Raw genomic sequence first — 18,513 nt, forward strand, 5'->3', positions numbered from 1 at the left:
TTTTTATTTTTATTTTTTCTTTTTTTTATCATACTTTAAGTTTTAGGGTACACACTAGACTCAGGCTCGCAGTCTCTCTCACTACCCGAGGCATGAGTGTGAGGGAGGCTGTTTGTATTCTATGCTAATGCTTTTTTTTCAATGCTCAATTCCCCTCCCCCCGCCTTTTTTTGTTTTAACTGTCTCACATTTCAACATTTCCATATAACCAGCTAATCTGATAAACCCATACTTGACATACGGAAAAAGTCAAGAAAAGCCTATTTGTGGGCTATCTTTGTCTTTCTAGGTTCTAAGTGTCAAACGATATTTAAGAGTGTTTGTTTGTTTGTTGTGGAGCCATTTTCGTTGCTTTTGTGATATAATAGAAAAATGGGAAGTGAGCTAAGCACCGTGGCTCACGCCTGTAATCCCAGCACTTTGTGAGACCTGAGTGGATAGATCATTTGAGCCCAGGAGTTCAATACCAACCTGGGCAACATGGTGAGACCCTGTCTCTACAAAACATACAAAAATTAGCTGGGCATGGTGGTGCGCACGTGTAGTTCCAGCACCGTGGGAGGCTGAGGTGTGAGAATCACCTAAGCCTGGGAAGTCAGGGGAAGTCAGTGCAGTAAGCCTTGCGCCACTGCACTCTGGCCTGGGAAACAGAGCAAGAGGCTGTCTCAAAAAAAAGGAAAAGAAAAAGAAAAAAGGGAAGTGCCTCTTTCTGGCTTCTGGCCTAGAGGCTGTGCTTCCATGACTGTGAGAATGGCCACCCTGCAGGCTGCAACCCTTTGTAAGAAATAAAGCTCTCCTTTCCAAATTTATAAACCTCATCACTCTTCAGTTGATGTGATTAAAAAAAAAGTTATGCTAAATGAAAACTTTACATTAAGAACAGAGAAAAGTTGCATTAAGATAGGCAATAAATGGAAGGATTTAGGACAGTCTTGTTTGAACACAGGGTGTGTGTATCTGTGTGTCTCTGCATGCATGTGTGTATGTGTGTTTGTGTATGTTTATGTCTAGTTTGTGTATGTGTGTTTGTGTATATGTCTTGTGTATATTATGTCTGCATGCATGTGTGTATGTGTGTTTGTATATGTTTGTGTATGATTATTTGGTTGTTTCACCAAATCTCTACCAGAATGTCAAATGTGACTTATTTTTACGTAGAATATATATAAACTCTGAATCATTATATTTAGCTTAGTTGCTAAGGCAAGTGTAATTTATTTCCTGCTTTTATCTTTTACTTATAAATATAAAATTAAATAAAGGAGAATGTTTTGTAATAATCCACAAATAACTCTCAATATTTTATAAAATAGTTACAAATACCATGGAAGTTGTTTATTGGAATGTGGCTTTACAGTCCCTCATAGAAGTAATTTTATAAGAGCATGATTGATAATAATGGTTACTATTCACTAAATTTCAACATATGTATGGCATATCATCTCTTTTTGTCATAACAGTACTGCAGGGAAATTATTATTATCTCCATTTTATGAATGAGAAAACTTAACATTACATGACTTTCTTTTTTTTTTTTTTCCTTTGAGACAGAATCTCACTCTATTGCCCAGGCTGGAGTGCAATGGCGCAATCTCGGCTCACCGCAACCTCCGCCTCCCAGGCTCAAGCAATTCTCTTGCCTTTGCCTCCCAAGTAGCTGGGATTACAGGTACCTGCCACCATGCCAGGTTAATTTTTGCTAAAAATACGTGACTTTCTTAACGTTGTATAACCAAACATTGACAGAGTCAGCATTTAAAAGGAAGTCTCTCAGGTTTAACAGGTGTTTATACACACATGCATGCAGACATAACATACATAAGACAAAACACAGGTGTGTGTTTTGTCCACCAAACCAGAGGCTTCCTTGGGGTTGCAGTTGTACCCATACAATCTGATTTATCTCCCTAATATCGTATTACTAAGTTATAATATTTATAAAATAATAAGCCCTAAAGCCAAGTGTATCGTATTTATTCGATATCAAACTCATTCTCAGTTCTAGCTACAGTGACAGGAACACATCTACCCTTGATGCAATTCTGGCTACACTTAAGTAACAGAGAAGAAAGGGGAAAAAGGAAGGGAAGAAAGGGGATAGCTGTGGCAGGGAAGAAAGCAAATGTGAAATTCCAGTAGAATCAAAAATGGTAAGAGCATCTTCAGCTATAGTGAGGAGGAACCAGGCCACCAGGGCTGCAGCTTTATACACTAAGGGGCCGTTCTTACTAAAGAGATCTTTGTAAGAAAATTGGCAATTAATGAGTCAGAAACCGCTTATGATTTCCTACTGTAGAAATGCACCAAATGACTTGCCACAAACTTGAACTCACAATACTTGTTCATTCAGATCACTTCTCTGATTCAATAAAAATTGTAATTCAACTTTACAAAGCATTAGCTATTCAGCCCATTTTGCTGCCAGCATAGAACCTTTTTCCTTAGGTCTCAGGAAGGCCAGGAACCATCTAGGTCAATAGTTATCAACCTGGTAAGCATTTCCAAGTTATATAGCCTTCCCTTCTTAGTGATACTTCACTTGGGGAAGAATACAAGAATGGATCACAGAGATTCCAGGTGGGAGAAACAGGCATTCTACCTAATGTTATAGGATCCTCAGATGACTAATATGCAAGATCTCTTATGCCATTCTCACCAGTTTCCCTGCTTGTTGAAAACACTAAGCTAGTCATCCCCTGCTGTGGCCAAAGACCTGAACCTAGACTGTCTAACATCTAACCCAGTAAACCTCTCTGTGCTTTCATTTCCTGGCTTGTAAAATATGGGTAATAGAATATATTCATAACATTATAGAGAGGTAACTAATTAACATAAACAAAGTACAGATGGCCTGACTTATGATGGTTTGACTTAGGATTTTTCAACTTGGTTATAGTGCAAAAGTGATATGCATTCAGTAAAACTGTACTTTGAATTTTGACCTTTTCCTAAACTACCAGTATGCAGTACAATACTGTCTTGCCATGCTGTGCAGCAGCAGTGAGCCACAGCTCCCAGCTATGTGATCTGAGTATATTTAAGGTAGGCGAGGCTCAGATATGATGTTCAGTATGTTAGGTCTATTACATGCACTTGCAACTTACAACATGTTGAACTTACATCAGGATGTAACACCATTGTAAGTTGAGAAGCATCTGTACTTCGAACGGCATCTGACACATAGAAAGTTTGTTGTTGTTGTTGTCATTATTATTTTATAGTGAGAAACTGAGGGCTGGATAGACCAAATGACTTATCTTACTTAACTAAGGGTTCAGAATAGAATGCAGATTACCTAAGTTGAAATCTAGTGCTTTTTCATGACACCAGTTGACTCTCAAACTGAAGTTAATACATGTGTTTCTCATTTTCTTAGCCTGTTTGTATCTACCCGAAGTTATGCATTTAAAAGGATCTTCACCAACATTACTGGGAGGCAGTAATTATTTAACTAATTTAAGAAATTTAAACCATTTTAGTTTGTACCTCATAATATTTTAGGATTTTTTCCCTCAACAGAACAATCGAGAACATTAAAAGAGAGCAAGCTCCACGTCACTCAACTGATGCTACCACCCAGGACAGAAATCAGCAGTTTCTGTTTTTCTACTGACCAGCTTTGCATTAAACACTGCAAATGGGAGAGCTAGTCCACTGAACTCATGCAAGCATTCATTTATTTATCCACAAAAAGCAAAATATGGCAAGGGGAATTTGGGAGGAGTGAAATAAGGGTTGTCAGACTAACAGTGACAAATGGGATGCAATTGTTCTCCAAAAGCTTGGAGCAGAGAAGTCTTCCCTTTTCCCCTCCCCTTAATCCCCACTGATTCCACCCTGCCTGCACACAGAGAAGGTGGTTAACAGAGGAAAGCCCCGTGAATAAGCTATGACAGCCCTACATTCAGAAACTGATGTCATTTCCCTAAATACTGTTTGTAAAATGGTAATTATCTGCCAAGCAATGACAGCTGGCACTTAGCATAGACACACAGAGAGACAGAAAAAGAGAGAATGAGAAAAAAGGGTCCCTGCATAATTTACCAAAGGGCTGAAAGAGAGAGGGAAACATAATCAGAAAAATAAAATGATTACCAGTGTGTGATGGGGTGAAAATTGCTTTGGGCATTTTTTTTTTCCTTTAGAGAGCACAGGATTGAATTGGAAGAATGAAGCTGGAGCTCCACGATGCACACTGGAAGAGAGGAGGTTGTGTTAAGGTGGCGGTAAAAGGAGAAATACACCAATGGTGCTGGGCTGTGGCAAAGCAGCAGGAAAACTCTGTGCACACCTAGCCCCTCAAACAGGAACCACTCAGCCCAGCAATACTTAATAATACACCCAAGATTGTTTCCTTTAGTTCATTTGGGTTCAAGATATAATATATTAAGTACCTCTTGCCCCCTTCCTTGTTATTTATGTGATGGTCGGTTTTATGTGTTAACTTGGCTAGGCTGTAGTGATCAACTATCCAATGACACATTACTCTAGGTGTTGCTGTAAAAGTATTTTGTAGGTATGCTTGATGTCTACAATCAGTTGGCTTTATGTAAAGGAGTTGATCCTGGATGATCTGGGTGAGCCTGTTCTAATCAGTTCAAAAGTCTTAAGAACAGAACTGATGTTTCCCTGAGGAAGAAAAAATCTCCCCTGTGGATTGTGGCATCAGCTCCTGCCCAAGTCTTTCCAAATTGTCCTTCTGATGGCCTACCCTGTGGATTTTGGACTTGCCTAGTTAGCCCTCACAATCACATTACGATCCCTTGCAACAAATCGAACTCTCCTGTCTCTCTTCACTCACACATGCGTGCATGCGCGCGCGCGCACACACACACACACACACACACACACACACACACACACCCCAACTTGTTCAATTTCTCTGGTGGTACCCTGACTGTTAAACTTGTCAAGTACCTGTGCAGTGATTTGCTCAGCTAAGTGAATATGTTATGGGTTGATTTGTCATAATCCCCTCAAAATCCGTAAGTTGAATCCTTAACCTCCAGTACCTCAGAATATAACCTTATTTGAAAGTAGTATCATTATAAATATAATTAATTAAGATAAAGTCATTAGAATGGGCTCAAATCCTACATGATTGGTGTCCTTATAAAAAGGGAAGGTTTGGAGACACAAACACACAAAAGGAGAATGCCATGTGAAGATGAAGGCAGAGATCACAGCGATGTTCTACAAGCCAAGGCACACACCAGAGATCGTTAGCAAACCACAGGAAGAAAAAGAGAGGCATAGAACAGATTCTCCCTCCCAGCCCTCAGAAGGAACCAAGCGTGCTGCCACCTTGATCTTGGGCATTGAGCCTCTAAAACTGTGGGAGAGTAAGTTTCTATTGTTTTAGCCACTCAGTCTGTGGTACTTTGTTACAGCAGCCCTAAAAAACGAATGCAGCACATTACCAGGAAAATCGAGACAGTTGAATTGGGGAAAGTTAAGAAACATACAAAGTTACAAAATTTTCTGAGTATTACAGAAAGCTCCATTTCCTTACTGCTTTTGAAATACAAACTTATTCCCTTTTATGCATAACGGTTTTACTGCCAATAGCTACCCAAGAAAAGACCTGGATGATTAAACTGACAATTACAGAGATGTACAAATGTTCCAGAAATTTTTCAAAGTAGTTCTTTTAAATTCCTGGAATCTGGTCTCTTTTTGGATAACAGATGTTGTAGAACCTTCTATAACTATTCATCTCTCTATTTGTGTCCTCCTGGAGTGTAGCTCTTCAGTTCTGTCTTACAGGAAAAGCTAACAATCACCACCTGGTGTCCCTTCCCCTCTTCTAGCAAGTGAAGCTAATAGATATTCTGTAAAAGGAAAAAACAACGGCCGAGCATGGTGGCGCATTCCTGTAGTCCCAGCTACTCGGGAGGCTGAGTCATGAGAATTGCTTGCACCTGGGAGGTAGAGGTTGCACTGAGCCTAGATCGCGCCAGCCTGGGCAACAGAACGAGACTCTGTCTTCATAGATAGATAGATAGATAGATAGATAGATAGATAGATAGATAGATAGATAGATAGATGGATGATAGATAGATAGATAGATAGATAGATAGATAGATAGATAGATATAAATGGAAAAGCAACAGTTGTGCCCAATCTTCCACAAATAACTTGCAACCAGGCAGAACATAGAACCCAGGTCTTTTGATGCCAGTCACATCCAGCTGTCCTTCCAAGACATTGTTTCTATGCAGGTGTTGAGTCAGCAGGCCAGATAATTCCTCCCAACGTTTATCTAAATACAGGTGTTTTTTCTAAAATGCAGGAATGTGAATTTGGATATAACATTCGTCTTTGTGAGGTGTAAGTTTCTTCTTTTAAAAAAAAATGCATCTTTATTTAGTCCTGACATTTCAAACCAACAGAATCAGCATCAGTATAGTGAAAGGTTAAAGTCCAGCTATTGTCAGTTTCTACATATGTCATATTGGCCAATTTACTTAACTTTATTATACTTCATTTCCTCATTTTTAAAATGAGAAATGGAGTGTTATCTCTTTCACTGGGTCATTACAGGGATGAAATGAAATAACATGTGGAAACATGTTATAAGCTCTAAAGTGGTGGAAAGAAGATAAAAATAAAGTAGTAATGTCACATCTGTGATCTTACGGTCTCCTTTCCTATCCCATATTGTAGAGGATAAGCCACACTGAATGTCCATTCAGTTTACATCAGACTTGTTTGGGAAAGTTACAGTTTGCGTGGGTATATCCAGATCATTATGTTTTTACAAGCTTCACAGTCTGACCTAGCATGAAAATTAAGTACATGAAAAGTATTTCAGAGTCTTGTAGTTAATGGACAAACTTAGATATCCCTAATAGGTGCTTCTAAGCACTTATCAAACTTTTTCTTACCTCTTACTCATCTGGTTCCTTCACTACACTGTAAACACTTACGAAGGCAAGGTTATATTTTCATCATCCCTATATTCACAGCATCAGTCTTTAAAATGTTTTGAAATTTATTTGTTTAATTGATAAGCAAAAATGTATGTATTTATAATGCATATGATGTTTTGAAATATGTATACTAAAGAATATTTGAATAAATATGGTCTTATTCAATTTTACTTTGGCCATAATCATTTTCAATAAAAAGTATAAAATTTTTTAAAAGTTGACGATGTATTACTTAATTGTAATACATAATGTATGTTTAAAACTAATCCATTACTAAAAATAATTGACTATTATAAGTAAAAATACCTTAAGCCGTTGAAAGTTTATTTACTATTGATCTATTAATTTACATAATTCTTCCATGTCTAGCAGAGCCCACTGATTATAAAGTAATTTACAGATATCAACTTTCTAGGCTGTGAAGGCTTCTGAAATTATAAGGAAGAGACAGTTGTGCCGAAATTGTGTGGTATAAAGCTGTCAAAATTTGAAATATAGTTATAGATTTCAGAATATAAATGGTTGTCATCAGAACAAGATTACAAGTTTCATGGGCTCTGAAAAACTTAGCTTATTTAACACTGAATCAATGACTTCACAACCAAACTGAGTTAAAACACTTCAGATTCTGAAAGAATGTGCTCATTCAACTTACAAAGCAGAATTTCAAAATATCCAGCGTGTTTGGCAGGAGGTGACACAACAGGCCATTTTGAGGAACATTTTGCTTAGCCCAGTTTTTCTCAGATTTAATATTTTTCATATTTTTGCCATTTTCACACACTGTCTCCACTAATATTTTCCTTTAAATACATTCTTTTTAACATATTTACCATAATTGTAAAATTATATTACTGTTATATATAAAAGATAAGCATCACTTATTACAAATAAATAGGACAAAAACTGCAAAAACAAAATAATGGTATCATTGTCTGTTTGGATTCAGTTGAAAGCTCTGAGCCTTAGTCCTACACTGCAACTGTTTTTTTTTCTTTTTAAAGAGAAATTTACCAAGTGTTTATAAATGTGTTAAAGCCTTATTAGCACCAAACTTAGACTCCTCTTGGTATAATCAGATGGTTGAAGAGATGTGAAAAGAGAATAACTTTCTCACCACGTGATTCAGTGCTATGTGATACCATGCTGTGTCATGTCCTATCTCCAATTATTTCACGTAGCACTTGAAGCAAAACTGGAGTTGCATATTAAGTGTTTGGAATTTTATAAGTTCAAGTACATGTGCACTTACAATATTTACTTGTTATGTGGAATGTATAGGATTTAAACTGAAAAGACAAACATGCAGATTTTTTACACCTAAAGACAAAAGCAGGTTGATAACTAGTATGGATGACTTTAGAAGAAGAAAGTCATATCAGAGCAGAAAGAATCTTAGAGGCCATCTGTTCTAAAGGTGGGCAAACTGAGACACAAAAGTGTTTTCTTTTTTTTGAGATACAGTTTCGCTCTGTCGCCCAGGCTGGAGTGCAGTGGCACAATCTCGGCTCACTGCAACCTCCGCCTCCTGGGTTCAAGTGATTCTCCTGCCTCAGCCTCCCAAGTAGCTGGGACTATAGGCATGTGCCACCACGCCTTTGTTGTATTTTTAGTAGAGATGGGGTTTCACTGGGTTAGCCAGGTTGGTCTTGATCTCCTGACCTCATGATCCACCTGCCTCAGCCTCCCAAAGTGCTGGGATTACAGGCATGAGCCAACGTACCCGGTCCCCAAAATGTTTTTTTATTGATGGTCATAGAACTAAGAAGTGCCCCAAGCAGAAATGGAACCCAATTGTTCTTGATGGTCCAGTTCACTTCACCAAGATGATCCTGTTCCATCTGTTCATGGTGGAAGCAGTTAATTTCATATGATTTTATACTCTTATTATTTATATGAGAGTAGGAGGTTTTTTAAAAGATAAGTCCTACTGAGGAAAGAAAATTTCAAATGAACCATTGATAATGGTTTGGCTGTGTGCCCACCCAGATCTCATCTTGAATTGTAGTTCCCATAATCCCTATGTTTCATAGGAGGGACCAAATGGGAGGTAATTGAATCATGGGGGTGGTTCCCCTCATGTGGTTCTCATGATAGTGAGTGAGTTCTCACAAGATCTGATGGTTTTATGAGGGGCTTTTCCCCCTTTACTCAGCTCTTCTCCTTCCAGCTGCCCTGTGGAGAAGGTGCCTCTCTTCCCCTTTACCTTCCTCCATGATTTTAAGTTTCCTGAGGCCTTCCTAGCCATGAGGAACTGCAAGTCAATTAAACCTCTTTTCTTTGTAAATTACCCAGTCTTGGGTATTTTTTCAAAGCAGCATGAGAATGGAATAATACACCTGTGAACTTTAAACACATTTTATTGTAACTTATTGTAACAGATCTTAGTAATTGTTTAAGAAGACAATGCTAGTTGATTACCCTAGACAAGAGAAAGATATAGGTCCCTCATTATTGTCTTTAAGGATTCTCCTGTGCTTCCTGAAAACTTGGACACAAGTAAGTAATAACTTTTTGGCCATCTTTGGAAGGATTTCTTTTTGTTTTGTTTTGTTTTGCTTTTTTAGAGATGGTGTCTCACTCTGTTGCCTAGCCTGGAGTACCGTGTTGCGATCGCAGCTCACTGCAGCCTTGACCTCCCAGGCTCAAGTGATCCACCCACCTCAGCCTCCTGGGTGGCTTGGGACTACAGGTGCACACCATCATGCCCAGCTAATTTTTAAAAAAAAAATTTGTAGAAACACGGTCTCCCTATGTTGCTCAGGCTGGTCTTGAACTCCTGACCTCAAGGGATCCTTTTGCCTCAGCCTCCCAAAGTGATAGGATTACAGGCATGAGCCACTGTGCCCAGCCAGAAGGATATCTTTTTAAAAGCATTGTGTATCATCTGACTTTTTGTACAAATATATTCTCCAGCCTTTTTTTTGGTGAGAGGGATGTTGCTACTTGATTCTATTTTTTCATTAGGTACATACCTTTGATGGGATATTTGTTCTCATTTGAATTGCTTTATTCTGTAACTGTTTGGCTTCCATGCTTTTATTTTTTAAAAAAGCAGTCTCACTTTTTGTTTTTCTTATTCCTTCTCCTCTTATTCTTCTTTGTCTTCTTCATCACCACCACCAGAGATCATTGCCTTAATGACGTTTACTAGGGCTTTTCATTTCCTTCCCAGTCTCTAAGGTATTTTTTTGGCAATGGGTGAAAAGTCCTGACATTCTGATTGCTATTCGTATTAGTCCGTTCTCACACTGCTATAAAGATATTACCCAAGCCTGGGTAATTTATAAACGAAAGAGGTTTAATTAACTCACAGTTCCACATGGCTGGGGAGGCCTCAGTAAACTTACAATCATGGCAGAACGCAAAGGGGAAGCAAGCTTGGACCTTCTCACGTGGCTGCTGCAGGAGAGAGAAGAATGAGGAGCGAAGGGGTTCTTACCTTATAAAACAATCAGATCTCCTGAGAGCTCACTATCACAAGAACAGCACGGGGGAAACCACCCCCATGATCCAATCGCCTCCCACCAGGTCGCTCCCTAGACACTTGGGGATTATGGGGATTACAGTTCAAGATGAGATTTAGGTGGGGACACAGCCAAACCATTTCAGGACTTAACAGTTCTATGTTATTGACACCTGCCCAGCACTGTGACCACTCATGCCTCATGCACTGAGGAGAGAACTGAGGACTTTCAAGGTCTCTTATAGACAAATAGAGTTGTAACTGCTTGTAAAGCACTTTGCTAATACAGAGTGTGAAGAAATGATAAATACGAATGATTATTATTGACAGTGGTGATTGGCCATCATCATCTCTTCATTTCTGGCTATTTCTCATGCAAACGCTATTTTAGCTTAAATTTTTCAACCTTGAATCCAATGAATCTAATCAGAATGAAGGAAACAGACCTATTTCTAGCAATGTTAAACAAATGATGACTTTTGTGTTCAATTAGTTGGTTTATAGAGACTCATCCATTTTTAATAAATTGATTTTGTTTATTTTTTCTATTTTATTTTACATTTGAATGAAGTGGGTTTACTATATGACTACAAATGCATTTGTGTTCTCTCCTACTCAAGCTAGCCTCAATCCTAGAAAGTATAGTCCTAGTTCTGCTGCAAACTATGATGTATAAAAAGAGTATAAAATATTAAATATTATACTTTTTAGCCAAGTTACCAATTCTATCATTCTTATAGCAGCATAGTTTATACACAATAATAAATTTTTAAAAAAAGGATATAAGGCATTGAACTGTCTTCATGCCAGATGAGAGATAATGGTTTAAGTATGAAAAAAACAGTTGAATCACTTTCACTATGTTGCTATGTGATTTGAGAGAATTTCTCAGCAACTCTTTTTCCTCTGTTTCTTCATTTCTAAAATGCAGAGAATACTTAAGCCAACTTTTTTGTATGTATGTGGAATACATGTAAAAAATACTTGTACATGCAAATATAAGCTAATATTCCTATTACTGTTATTGTTGGGTGTGAAAATCACCACTATACAATGCCCTGAATTACATGTTGTATATTCCATCAAATGCTTACCGCAATCCAGGGCTAAGAAAATGCACAATTATCTATACAGAGTGACTAGAGTTTAAGACTCCAATAAGCCCTTATCATGTTCAAACAAAAGTACTGATTTAACATTCCAGGCTTTGATGTCAGAAGTAAATTACAGAGTAGAATCATGCTTTTTTGGTATAAGTAATGGTATATTTCAGTCACAAAAATAGTATTTACTCTTTCACATTGAATGAGGAATATGATATCACAGAGGATCAATAAAAATACTTTTTATACTTTATAAGAAGATAAAAATTCTAACATAAATGACCACCTCAAGGCTTAGAGGAATTTAGGCTGGATCTAAAACCAAACTAAACTCTTAGCGTATAAAAATTCCAGTAAAATCCATGATTATGTTTTATAAGATTAATACTAAATTTCACACTTTAAAAAGTCATAGTCAAAAGAAATATTATTCAATTATTTACTAAGTGCTAGTTAAATTTCTGCTATACACTTTTATTTGGAACTTACGTAAGTCATATGTATGACATTTTATTTATTTAACAAATACTCATTATTTACCACATTTTAGTTCTCAGATGCTATATATGAGTAAAACATGCTTATATTTACCGCTACCCATATCATACCACCTCTTAGGCCAAGAATTATCTGAACATCTTGCTGGTCTTGTTTTTTGCTTGTTTATACTGCAGATTTCTATTTAGACTGAATAATATAAGAATAAGAAGTGTTTATGTATGAACTGGAAAATGATAAGAAAACAAACAGATAAAGTTATTTGCAAATATATTTTTTCCTTTTAAGTTTTATAAACCTTTCTAAGTAATAAGGACCAGAAGCTTCCACAGCATCAGTTCATTATTAGCACTGATATGAAATGGTTTTATAACCTTCAGCAGAATTTAAGGGTTTCTGGTAAGAATTTCTTCTTACTGCAGAACAAATTGCATCTCTTATGGTTACTGTACATTTGCAATTGATGAGCCATCAGAAAAAATCTTGGAAAAGTGATGCAACCGGTAACTTGTATTATTTTTTTTTTAAATGGAGTGTTTGAATTATTTATTGAATCTAGGTCATGTGAGTCACTTCCACTTCACAAATAAGTTGAAAACCCTACAGTGAAGAAATAGGTACTTAATTAGTGGGTGAAGGATTTTTGAAATAAGATGAGACATCGAGTTTGTTTCTTACTCTTAATTTGAGCCAATTGTATTAGAGAAAGACTAATGAAATCAAAAATGACAAAGCCCAATGTCAAAAAAAAAGTAAAGAAAGCCTTAATAGCCAATTAATACTAGTTCAGGCATACCACACAGAACAGAGACCAAGGGCTTGGGTGTGAGGATAAGAATTTCAGAGATTCATTCAGTCCTCTAGACATATATTTTATGTTTCCATCAATAGCCAGGTACTATGCAAGACACTTAGAATGTAATGGTGCAACTGAAAGACATACGCCTCGTTCTTACAGAGTTTACAAACTGGTTGAAGAGGCAGATGATAAAGAGATAAACCAATCAATAAATATTTAACTTAATTAAAAAGAGTACTATGAAGGGAGGCTCTTTTTTTTTTTTTTTTTGAGATGGAGTCTCGCTCTGTCACCCAGGCTGGAGTCCAGTGGCGCGATCTCGGCTCACTGCAAGCTCCGCCTCCCGGGTTCACGCCATTCTCCTGCCTCAGCCTCCCGAGTAGCTGGGATTACAGGCGCCCGCCACCACGCCCTGCTAATTTTTTGTATTTTTTGTAGAGACGGGGTTTCGCCGTGTTAGCCAGGATGGTCTCGATTTCCTGACCTCGTGATCCACCCGCCTCGGCCTCCCAGAGTGCTGGGATTACAGGCGTGAGCCACCGCGCCCAGCCGGGAGACATGTTTACGCTGTGCTAGAGATTAAGATAAAAAACATACTTGAAGGTTAAAAGAAAAAGAAGGATACCTTCAGAAAGTAATGTCTAATCTGAGTCTTAAATGATAAAAAGGAGATAGCATGCAAAGGCCAGCAGAAAGCATTCCAGATGAAAATTAAAAAGCGCATGGTCTCTGGGAAGAGCTTGGTGTGTTTGAGGAATTGAAGTTTAGGCAACATATGCTGACCTTTGGCAGCAACGAGGGGAGTGGTTTTCAATACATTTGAATGTATAGGATCCAAATGATAAAGGAATTTTAGGCTACAGTAAGGAATTTCGAATTGTTTACAGAGAAATGTGGAATAATTAGGGCTACAGAAGGATAGATTAATAACTCTGGATGTTTTGCTAAGGACTCAATACAGTTGGGTGAAGTGGAAGTAGAACGACCAGCAAATAGGCTATTGCCATTTGTCCAGGCAGAAAGGGATCTATTTTTCCATCTGGTTTTAATTATTCCCCTTCCCTGTCTCCCCTCCTGCTTCTCCTATCTCCCCTAAAGATGCTTTTCCTGTTTTAAAGACATAACCCCAGCTCTCCAATAACTTAACTGACTTCTAGGTGTTTCAATCTACCCTTCGAGGTGAGTAGGACTGACCCCATACTATGTTATCAGACTGTTCAGGGTCAGGATACCTTTCTTAGCAGTCACAGTGAGTAGGAAATGCTCCTTGTAAACACAGGAAACAGAGCCACTGAGGCAGTCAGCTAACATCTGCTAGAAAATGAGATTTGAGTTACAAGATAAAGTTCAAACACCAATTTTACCTAACAGCGATGTTGGTACTAAAATCTTATAAAGCTTACAATCTGAAATGCACCTGTCCCACTGATACTCTTTGTGATGTTCATTAAAAAAACTAGGTGGAATATTGAAGTTAATATCTTTAAGTGAATGTGTATAAACATTGTGATAGAAAAAAATAAAAATTTATAAATAACTTCTAAATTTTGTGTCTAAGCATCCCCTGTGCCACCTGTATACATAACTCCCTGTTTTCCTGTTGACCATTGTTTAATAACCTGCTCTCTGGATAGTTTTAGGTTTTTACAGTTTCACATATGGTCCCATCTGCTGGCAATTCAACTCCTATTCAACCAAGAAGCAATCGAACTAAGACCTGAAAGGAAGAATACAGCTGGAGGCCTTGAATGCAGCTCCACTGGGACTGAATTTATATAGGGTACAGAGGGCTACTACTGAGTTTGTGCAGAGAAGTGCCATTTAAGATACTGTTAAAGGAAGGCAAACAGAGGGAAGATTTGTTTATTAAATGCCTACTCTATACCAGGAACTCTACATAAATAGTCTCATTTATTCTTATTAGTTCTGGTATTATCCTCCTTTTATGAAAAAAGGTAACTGAATCTCAGCTTGCTTGTCTAAGTTGACATAATAAATGGCTGTGCTTATTTAGTTCTATGGCAGTCATAAATAGAATCAAGATTAATATAAAAGGATTGATTGTCTTGCCTTTAAAAGTCCGTCGTCTGCCCCTAATGAATACTTTACCTACTTTAGTTTACTGAACCTGCCAAACCGGGAAGTTATAAAATACAAGCAAGCCTTGTCATACAGTTTTTGAGTCAGAAAATATATTCATGTCACCTAGTATCATTATAGCTTTCTATCACTTATGATGGCAAAAATAAGTATATCTGATTCTAATAAGAATATGAAGAATCAAAAAAATGGAAAAATATTGAAGGGAAAAAGACGTAATTCTACCAGAAAAATCACGACAAAACATCTAACAAAATAACATATTTAAATAATAAAGAACCCCTTTTTTAAAAAGCAGATTGATGATGATTATATCTATAATTATGTCAGGGGAGGCATAAAATAGGCATATTTGTAGAGCTGTGATTAGTATAAACAGGGCTGGGTATGAGCTGAGTCATCTCCTTGCCACTGTATTAAAACTACAAAATAATAATTCCAAGTTTAATACTTTAAAATGATTTATTAACTAGGTTTCATAATCACCAAAGGTAACTTATTTCCATGTTAAACTACTCTTTATTCAGAAAGTTGTCTTTAATATTTAAACTAAGTTGTAACTATTGTAGTTCAAGCCCAATCCACTCAGCTCCAAGTGTCTAGTGGGAATCACAGTTCCCTTCTCTCATTTGTAGTATCTCTTTCCTAGGTGTAAATAGTTACTCTGCTTCTCTGTTATCTTTCCTTCTGTCTGAGCATGCCTGGTTCCCTTAATGTTTCCTTATAGATCTCATTTTCCAGGGCTTTTATCATTTTTGTTGCTCTCTTCTGAACTGATTTAAACTTATCTATGATTCTTTTTCAACTGAGGAACAAACACTAAACACAGTTATCCAATTGAGGCCTAAAGTGTGCTTGTAGAACAAAATAATTACCTCTCATTTTATCCACGTTCTCCCTATTAATATACCCCAAAGCAGTGTCTGGGATTTTATATGACACCATTGTATTGTTGACTTATTGTCAATTTATCTTTCATTATAGCTTATATCTCCATCCCCGTGGAACAATTGTTTGTGCGGTTTATATTTGTTTTTATTGAATCCTATTTTATTGATTTCAGCCCCACATTCTATTTATCAAGATGGTTGTTTGTAATACTAACCTCTAATTTGCCTCCAACAGTACATGATCCCCAAGTTCTTAACTGTGTAAATGATTAGCATACTTTCTGTTTTATCTCACCAAATCTCTGAGTACACAGCTGAATGTGGGGTTTGTTTTTGTTTCGTTTTGTTTTTTTGACTAACAAAAAAAGTTGTGATAGAATTTAAAATATTTCCCCTTACTGCTTATAGTGCTAACCTCAAAAGCTATGATTTTGGGTGCCCATGATATTGCTGAGACTGTTTGCCATCATATTAATCCTTTAACAATATTCCTGAGGTCTGATTAACCCAATCTTACAGAGAAAAAGACTCTAAGGGCCATAGATGTCCAGTAACTTTCTCAGCACGTAACTAGGAAGGAGAGGAGCTGGAACTTGAACTTGGTCTGTTTGGTCTTACCACCAAGTACTTTCCAGTACACCTGTAAATAATTCAATTCAATTCACAACTAACAGCTTGTTATATTAATAAGTTTCTCACCCATTCTGCTATTACTGGACAGGATTTTATGAAAACCATGACAGTGTTTTCACTCCAGGGAGTCTTCTTTTAGAAAGATGTTGTGGGTGCTATGAATGATGAGGCCATTGTTCCTGGGCACAGAGATGATTCCAGTGACAAAATTACTGTTTACTATGTGAAAGCCATGGTATCTGAAAGCCTAACAAATAGAGTTGATCATAGGTTGTTCCCGCTCCTTTTGCTATATTAAAAAACCATTCCAACTAAGGCAATATGATAATTAACTTGACTTCTATTTGTTTCTTTGTATCAAAGTGATTGAATCCAAACACTATCCATCCAAATCACTGGCCTAAGTCAATGGTTGCTAAATGAGGTGCTAAGACTCTGCTGAGTATTTTAAAAGTTCCTAAAGGATGCTGTAGATTTTAGTATACTAGAATGTAAAAAGTACAATGCATGTTTAATTAAGACTTTATGAGCTGACTGTGTGACTTGCCCACATCAGCAACTTAGCCCTGATCTCTTGAAATCCAAAGTGCATATATACTCACTTAGCTGGTGATTGCTGAATTCAGCTGCTTCATGGATTGCATACAGCAGGTCTGTTTTGCAAAATGGGCTTGTTCATAAGGTTAATATTTGCATTAGTCCATTTTCACGCTGCTGATAAAGACATACCTGAGACTGGGAAATTTATAAAGAAAAAGAGGTTTAATGGACTCACAGTTCCACTTGGCTGGGGAGGCCTCACAATCATGGCAGAAGGTGAAAGGCACATCTTACATAGTGGCAGGCAAGAGAGAATGACAGCCAAGCAAAACAGGAAATCCCTTTTCAAGCCATCAGATCTGGTGAGACTTATTGTCTACCAGGAGAACAGTATGGGGGAAACCACCCCCATGATTCAATTATCTCCCATGGGGTCCCTCCCACAACACGTGGGAATTATGGGAGCTACATACAATTCAAGATGAGATTTGGGTGGAGAAACAGCCAAACCATATCAATATTAATATGCCTATTTCTTAATGTAAAACAAATTGTAAGGGACAAGAACAAATAATGGATGATGCTAATAACATCTTATTAAAATTGGAGAGTTTAGGTAATTTAAAATAATTATCAAGAATACATGGGTTTGCTGTTCTAGGATAGTTGCCTAGTAATGAGTTTCCCTTAGTATCTGCAAGTATTTTATCCTTTCCTTAAATGCATTAAAATGTGTCAAACAGTTTGGTTTTCAATAGACAGAGGAGAAAATTATCTACTAAATTTAACTACTTTCTGGCAGATCAATTAAGAAGATATTAAGTTCTGAGTTCAGATTTTGTTAAAAGTGTGCATTAGTTGATGGTGAAATATAAAGACACTGAGTTCAAGATCACTAACAAGGAGCTTGAGAAGTAGAAGAAGGCTGAAGAGTATAATCATATATCATGCAGATGTTGGCTAGCTTAGGGGTACTGTCCAGGAAGAGGAATTCTCTGCTGGTACTGGAGCCTCATCCCTTGATTGCCTAGGTGCAAGGTTTGGGCATATACATCCTTCGTGTCTGAGAAGATGTTACTCCTCAAAGACTTGGGAGTAGTTTACACATAAATGAGAGGATTAAAAAAGGCACAATAGAGGGGAAATAATTTTCCTCTTATTTATTTTCTGAATACCTCCCTACCTATTTCCTTCTTGTTATATGAGGTTTATTCTCTTCAGTAATAAACAATTTAAAAAAAAACACTCAAAGCAGATATTGTAAATTCACAGTATTAATGTTTTTAATTTATATTAAAACATACAAAAATAGGTTTCTAATAGGTAGACTAATATTCTTTCTGGCTTAAAAATTGTTCCTCATTTAATAATGTTTGATCACACTGAGATTATACTTTATTTTTCTGTTTGCATCATCTCTTTCTTAGTTTTATCTTTCCTTCATACCTTTCTCTTACATCAGATTTTTCATCTTAGTCTTTCAGGAATTTGTTTGTTTATTTGCAGTTTGTACAAGAGAACACATTAGAAAACGTAGGGCTCAGAACCCACT

The 18,513-nt window shown here is 37.1% G+C and overlaps 1 long non-coding RNA gene across 2 annotated transcripts in view; it reads left to right on the forward strand.

Moving 5' to 3' along the window:
* Window positions 1–18,513, forward strand: part of LOC105374056 (uncharacterized) — a 56,435-nt gene continuing 37,922 nt past the window's right edge. For both annotated transcript variants that reach the window (XR_924361.3, XR_007096021.1), the window contains exon 1: window positions 1–18,513. This exon is cut by the window's right edge and continues 11,510 nt beyond it. This is a non-coding gene — a long non-coding RNA (uncharacterized LOC105374056).

This window comes from Homo sapiens, chromosome 3, assembly GCF_000001405.40.
Source record: "Homo sapiens chromosome 3, GRCh38.p14 Primary Assembly".
NCBI lineage: Eukaryota > Metazoa > Chordata > Mammalia > Primates > Hominidae > Homo > Homo sapiens.